The sequence below is a fragment of the Homo sapiens genome, chromosome 1 (genome assembly GCF_000001405.40).
Source record: "Homo sapiens chromosome 1, GRCh38.p14 Primary Assembly".
NCBI classification, from domain to species: Eukaryota; Metazoa; Chordata; class Mammalia; order Primates; family Hominidae; genus Homo; species Homo sapiens.
In genome coordinates this window covers 166793037-166799036 of record NC_000001.11, presented here as the reverse complement: position 1 = coordinate 166799036, position 6000 = coordinate 166793037, and the positions used below count along the sequence as shown (strand labels likewise).

Sequence of the window (6000 nt, the reverse complement as noted above, 5' to 3'; positions counted from 1 at the left end):
TCAGTGTGGTGCCTGAGGTCAGACAACTCGACATATCTGTCTCATTGTTTTTAAGATAATGAAGAGATATTACAATTTCCTGGCATCTGAGGGCTCTTCTACAGGACAATCACTTGGTATTCACAATAGTCTTATGTATATAAAAATTGAATTTTGAAACAGATTCATTGGCAGAGATAGAAAAACCACATTCCTAAATGAAAACCAAACAAAGGGTTGGTTCCTTTAGGCACAATTAAGTCCAGGTAGGACCTTTTTTGAGCTCACAACATTGGGGTGGAGGAGCTTGGTAGTCACCATTGTGTGTATAAAAGGGCCCACAAGTTCTGAGTGGTTAGCTCATAGAGTGATGGATAGCAAACTTTTGATTAAATAATAATCATGGTGAGGGAGTCTTATTCCTATAACTTCCTGATGAAAACCAATCACTTCCTCCCCCTCAGCTTCTTTATAGAAGAGTCCATGTCTTCAGATGCTTCTCTAGAAGATTTAGGTTTGTCCTAGAATGCAGAGACAGCATGCAGGAACCTCCGAAAATTGTGTAACTAAAAGGAATTCTGAATTGTCATTTTTATTATTAGCAATCTCAGTCCTATGGTTACAGGAGATAAAAGTTTTCTTCAGGAAACACATAGGAGATTTCAGGTCATTTACGAGGTACTTGAGGAATTACAATTCCTGAGTGTCTCTTTTTTTGTGACCACTTTGTCCACAGACATTAGGAGCAACCAACCAACTTCATATATTTATTAGTTTTGCAAACATGTTTGAAAGTTTTACATACACAGTCACCTAACTCCTTGCTTTTTGTAAGTGGTCGATTAGGAGTATCCGATGGAGATATTTTGCAAATTTCTATTGCTAGATCATACCATGGATTATCAGTGTTCTCTTTACTCCTAGAAATAGAGTCATTGGCATTTTTGTTTTTATTTATTTATTAATAATAGTTACTATTCTTATTTCTTCCTAAAAACAGAGGTTTCTATTGCATTTGGTCCACAGTTGGTATTTCACATTATTTAAGGGTGCAGGGCTCTTGGCTGGGGCCCCTGAGCAGTACTTGGCAGGGCTTGTGGTGGGGGGAGACGGAGCCTTGCAGTTGGTTAGTCCCAGAAGGGGAGAAGGAGGGCTGGGGGCTCCTTAAAATCTGATGAGGGACACAAATGGGGGGGTTGGTGAGCATGGGGAGGGGTCAGGCTTAGCCCCAATTGACTCACTACCCCATTGTCTTGCATAAGCCTGTTTCCCCACCCGGCCCCTGTGCAGGTCTGAGGGTCCTAGGGAAATCCAGTCACTCATGAGCCTAAGATATTTTAGCATCCTGGCCTTGGCCTTCTCCCAGGGCACCCATTTCCCAGCACCCTCTCCACTGTCCCCGCCCCATTCCCTAGGAAAAAAGAAATATTTTTCTTTTGTTAATACTTCTGAAACTTCTGTAGGTACAGAAACCACAAACTGATAGGTGGACAAAAGGGAAAAGGAGAAGCAACCGGAAACCTCCTGCTGCCGGCTCCCCTCGCTGCCCAGACCTCTTCTCCCCTGCACCGCTCAGCCCACAGCCTGAATGTGCCCTGGCAACGACCCCCACTTCACATTCATCCAGATACAGCCTTGACCCCTTCCTCCCAAGCCCGGTGTCTCAGTCCTGTGAAGGAATTAAGGCAGGAGGGAAAAAAAAATTAAAACAAACAAACAAAAATAACCCTGCTGCTTGACCCCACGCAGCTACTCACAGACCCTCGGTTGGCAGCACTGAACAGGTTAAAAAAAAAAAAGAAAGACGAAAATACAGGAAAATCCCCCAAACCCAGACAGGGCGATGATGTAGGGAGCCAGCATGTTCGGGGGCCTCAGTAGTGGCCTCCTCCTGGGAGCAGGGGGGATCCTCGGGGGCCTCCCCTGGTCCTGGGCAGTTGCCGGCATCCAAGGGAGCCCCACTGGCTGCAGGCCTTGAGGGCAGTACTTGGGATAGTATATCTGCTGGCCCAGGCCAAAGCCCTGGACGCTGTGGTTGGCACTCTGCGTGTCACCCATATGCAGGGACATGGAGGAGTTGTCACACTTGTGGGCTCCCAGTTTGGTGTTGTAGATGTGCTGCGGGGTCCCGGGAGCCGTCATGCCCCCTGGCTGGAGCGTTTGTTTGCACCCATCTGGAGGCTGATGGTCGAGTGGTCCAGAGGGCAGGATACGGTTCTTGGGGTGGTAGAGATGCCTCATCGTGCCCTAAGTTGTCGCGCCCGACTGGCAGGCACATATGTTGGTGCCCATCTGCAGCTCAGTGAGGCACTGGCTGGCCTTCAAGGTGGCGTCGTCGAAGTTCCGCTCCTGCTTCTCCGAGTATTTGACCCCGACGTCCACCCCATTCTGCAGCAGCTTTGTCTTGACCTTCCCTGCCAGGGCTAGAAGAGACAGCTGCACCTGCGTCATGTTCCTACTCTCAAACAGGTCGTTGGCCTCGAACAGGTCCATGGGGTTCATGTCGTATCCAACCATGGCCTTGATGAAGTTGGAGAGATTTTCTAGCTGGTGCCAGTTCTGCATGAGCCGTTGATCTTGGGGACTGAGCCCAGCTTGTTCATGAGTGTGCATAAGACAATCCCTTCCTTCAGACTCTTCTGGAAGTCGGGGCTGAAAGAGAGGCGGGTGAGTCCCTCGATCCAGCTGCAGAGCGCCGCCTGCTTCTGAGGGTCGCATTTGAACAGGAGCTGGTTCTTGATCTCGGCAAAAAGCTGGTAAGAAGGCCCCTTGTTGAACTGCGTGGAACTCATGGCTGATGGGAAGGGACAGGGTAAGATGGACCCATTAGCATTTTAAAATCTAATTGAATTACAGCGCCAATTCCAGAAACTCTAGAACCAATTCAGAAAACATATTCTCAGAAAAAACATTCTTAAATTTCTTCCTCTGGAATCATTCTTAGTACCAAAATCTATACTGGTTTGAGTTCTCCAGAGAAATAGAACTAAAGGAAATATCTACATATCTATATATTTATTGATATATAAAGTTGTTTCTTTCATGGGCCTGGAGTACGTGGGTCCAATCATTAGATATATAGATGGAGGGAGGAAGAGAGAGAGAGAGAGATTATAAGTAATTGGCTCATGAAGTTATGGAGACTGAGAAGTCCCACAATCTGTAGCTAGTAAACTGGAGACCCAGAAGAACCTATGGTATAGTTCTAGTTTGAGTTTGAAGGCCAGAGCACCAGGAGTGCCAGTGGTGTTTCTAAGTTTTGGTCTGAGTCTGATGACAGGAGAACACCAATGTCCCAGCTCAAAGACAACCAGAGAGATGAGAGTAAATTCTCCCTTACTACACTTTTTTGTTCTATTTGGTCCTTCAGTGGATTGGATGAAGGTCATCCACACTGGGGGTGGGAGTGGAGGGCAGGCAATAGAATGTGGCAGAAGTGATGTTCTGGGACTTTCAAACCCAGACAACTGGCAGTATCAGTTTTTTTCTTTGGAGGAAGATAGCATATTATAAGGAAGATTGGACTATTGAATAATGAGAAACTATGTGGAGAAAGAGAGTGAGATAAATTATGTGGAGAAACACCAAGGAATCAGACATGTGAGTAAAACCTTCTTGGATATTCCAGCCCAGCTAGCCACCAGGTGAATGCAGCTGAGTTATCCCACCTGTTGCCATATGAAGAAAGAATGCTTCAGCTGAGGCCTGCCTGAATTCCTATCCTATAGACTTGTAAGAAATAATAAACCATGGTGGTTTAAGCTACTAAGTTTTGGGGGTGATTTGTTACACAGTATAGATAGTTAGAAGGATACAGCAATGGTCCCATAACAATTGAACATCCAACATCAAACAATTTGGGGTTCTTATGCCACTAAACCAACAAGCGGAGAAGAGGATTACTGTATTGGCTGGGGTGACTGCTCTCAGTTAACATTGGGAAATGGAGTTGCTGATACACAACAGAGATAGAGAAGACCGTGTCTGAAACTCAGGAAATTCACTGGACATTTTCTGAATGAAAAGCAAATCCTTGGGATGATTGTTGCAATTTGTATCACAAGAACATTTGGTAATCTTTATTGAATTTGCTTAAGAGAGGAATTAGAGTGATACTGATTATTTTTAGAATTTTGAATGTCTTTTTATAGAAATGAAGAAATATTAAATGTATATGATAAAATTATATATTGATTATAAACAGGAAAATATTCCAAGTATCTAGGTCCCTAAGATGCAGTTATTCTAACATAGACTTTTAGGTTATTTTGTTATTGTTGGGAAACTGTACGGAGTATTAATTTCGGGGCCAGATAGAAAATATATCAAATATATTAAAAGTTATATATAGTAATTACTGTATAAATCATAAGGAAGGGAAAACAGGCAGAGTTGTTAAGTAGGGAAATTTGATAGAAGCAGGCAAACGAGGGCAAGAAGTAGAGGAAGAAAAAAGAGAAAAAGCAAATGTTAGGTATGAGTAAGAACAAAACTAACAAGCCCCAAGTTCTCAAAGTTGGCTCAGTGTAGGAACCCTGCAGAACCTTTAGCTTGTTTCTCCCTGTGTCAGTTCATTCTTCTTTCTGCTGAAAGTTATTTTATCAAAATACTTCTGATTATGTCATCTCCCTGCCCCAAAGCTTCAGTGATGCGCTCTTGCCCTCACCACAATCTAACTTTTGAACCATTCTCTTCAAGCCTGGACTTCAGCCTCCCCTCCCAGCTTTTTCTCACCCACTCACCAGAGTGCACTGACTGAATTCCCAAAAGTAGGACCCGTTCTTTAATTGCCTTTGTGTTCACAAAGATGATGGATTCAAATCACAATTCTCATTAGGATGTGGATTGGATGTAAAATCTTGTCAATACTAGAAAAATTGTCACTTGCACAGTGGGGAATCCCTAGAGGCTAGATTTAAACTGTAGAGACATGGACTAGTTTTGTCTTGTTTTCTTCTATGATTCCAGTGTCTAGCACATAGTAGGTACTTGAATATATTCATTGAATGAATGGCTGAGACTTTTAGAAATATGCTTTTTTGACCTTAATTTTGTGTGAGACAGTAACGAGAAGGTAAAAAGAGGTCTTTCAGTTTGTGATCAGCTCTTGGGAATACTTACAGCTTCAAGAGGTTCAGTTTAGGCTATAAAATATCCCACTTGAAAAAAGAAAGCATGGGATCTTCTTCAATTAATTGGTTGATCAAATTAGGACTTCTGGGCCGGGCATGGTAGCTCATGTCTGTAATCCCAGCACTTTGGGAGGCTGAGGTGGGTGGATCACCTGAGGTCAGGAGTTCGAGACCAGCCTAGTCAACATGGCGAAACCCCGTCTCTACTAAAAATACAAAAAATTAGCCGGGTGTGGTGGTGATCACCTGTAATTCCAGCCACTCGGAAGCCTGAGGCAGGAGAATCACTTGAACCTGGGAGATGGAGGCTGCAGTGAGCTGAGATGTGCAACTACATTCCAGCCTGGGTGACAGTGAGACTTGGTCTCAAAAAAAAAAAAAAAGAAAAAAAAATTAGGACTTTCCACTTCTTCATAGAGCCAAATCTACATGAGATAAGGAGGCCAGTACTCCTTAGAAAATTCAGTAACAGAAGGCAGGCTGAGGTTGTATCATCATCACTGAGAGTTCCTGTACCTCATAAACAATGTCAACACATTCTGACTTTCATTTGGGATGTCCCTTGAAAGATTACCCTTATCACTTCCCTTCCTGAATAAATCCTGAATCCATTTCTACGTATTGTTCCCCATCCCCACATTAAAAACAACAAACCAACAAACATAATATTAAAAGAATCCATTCCTAAGCCTAACAAAACTCTTCTTAAATGTACCCTGGAGAATGGCATGATGAACACTTAAAAAAACCCAAAAACCAAAAAAACAAAAAATCAACCAAACAACAACAACAAAAAACCCAAAACAAAACTACTTCCCAAAAAGTGTTTGGGAATATTCTTCAATAATACATCAATGTAGGCTGGGTGTGTGGTGGCCCATGCCTGTAA

The 6000-nt window shown here is 43.3% G+C and overlaps 1 pseudogene; it reads right to left on the bottom strand.

The window, feature by feature from the left end:
- CNN2P10 (calponin 2 pseudogene 10) lies at window positions 1699-2792 on the bottom strand (annotated as a pseudogene).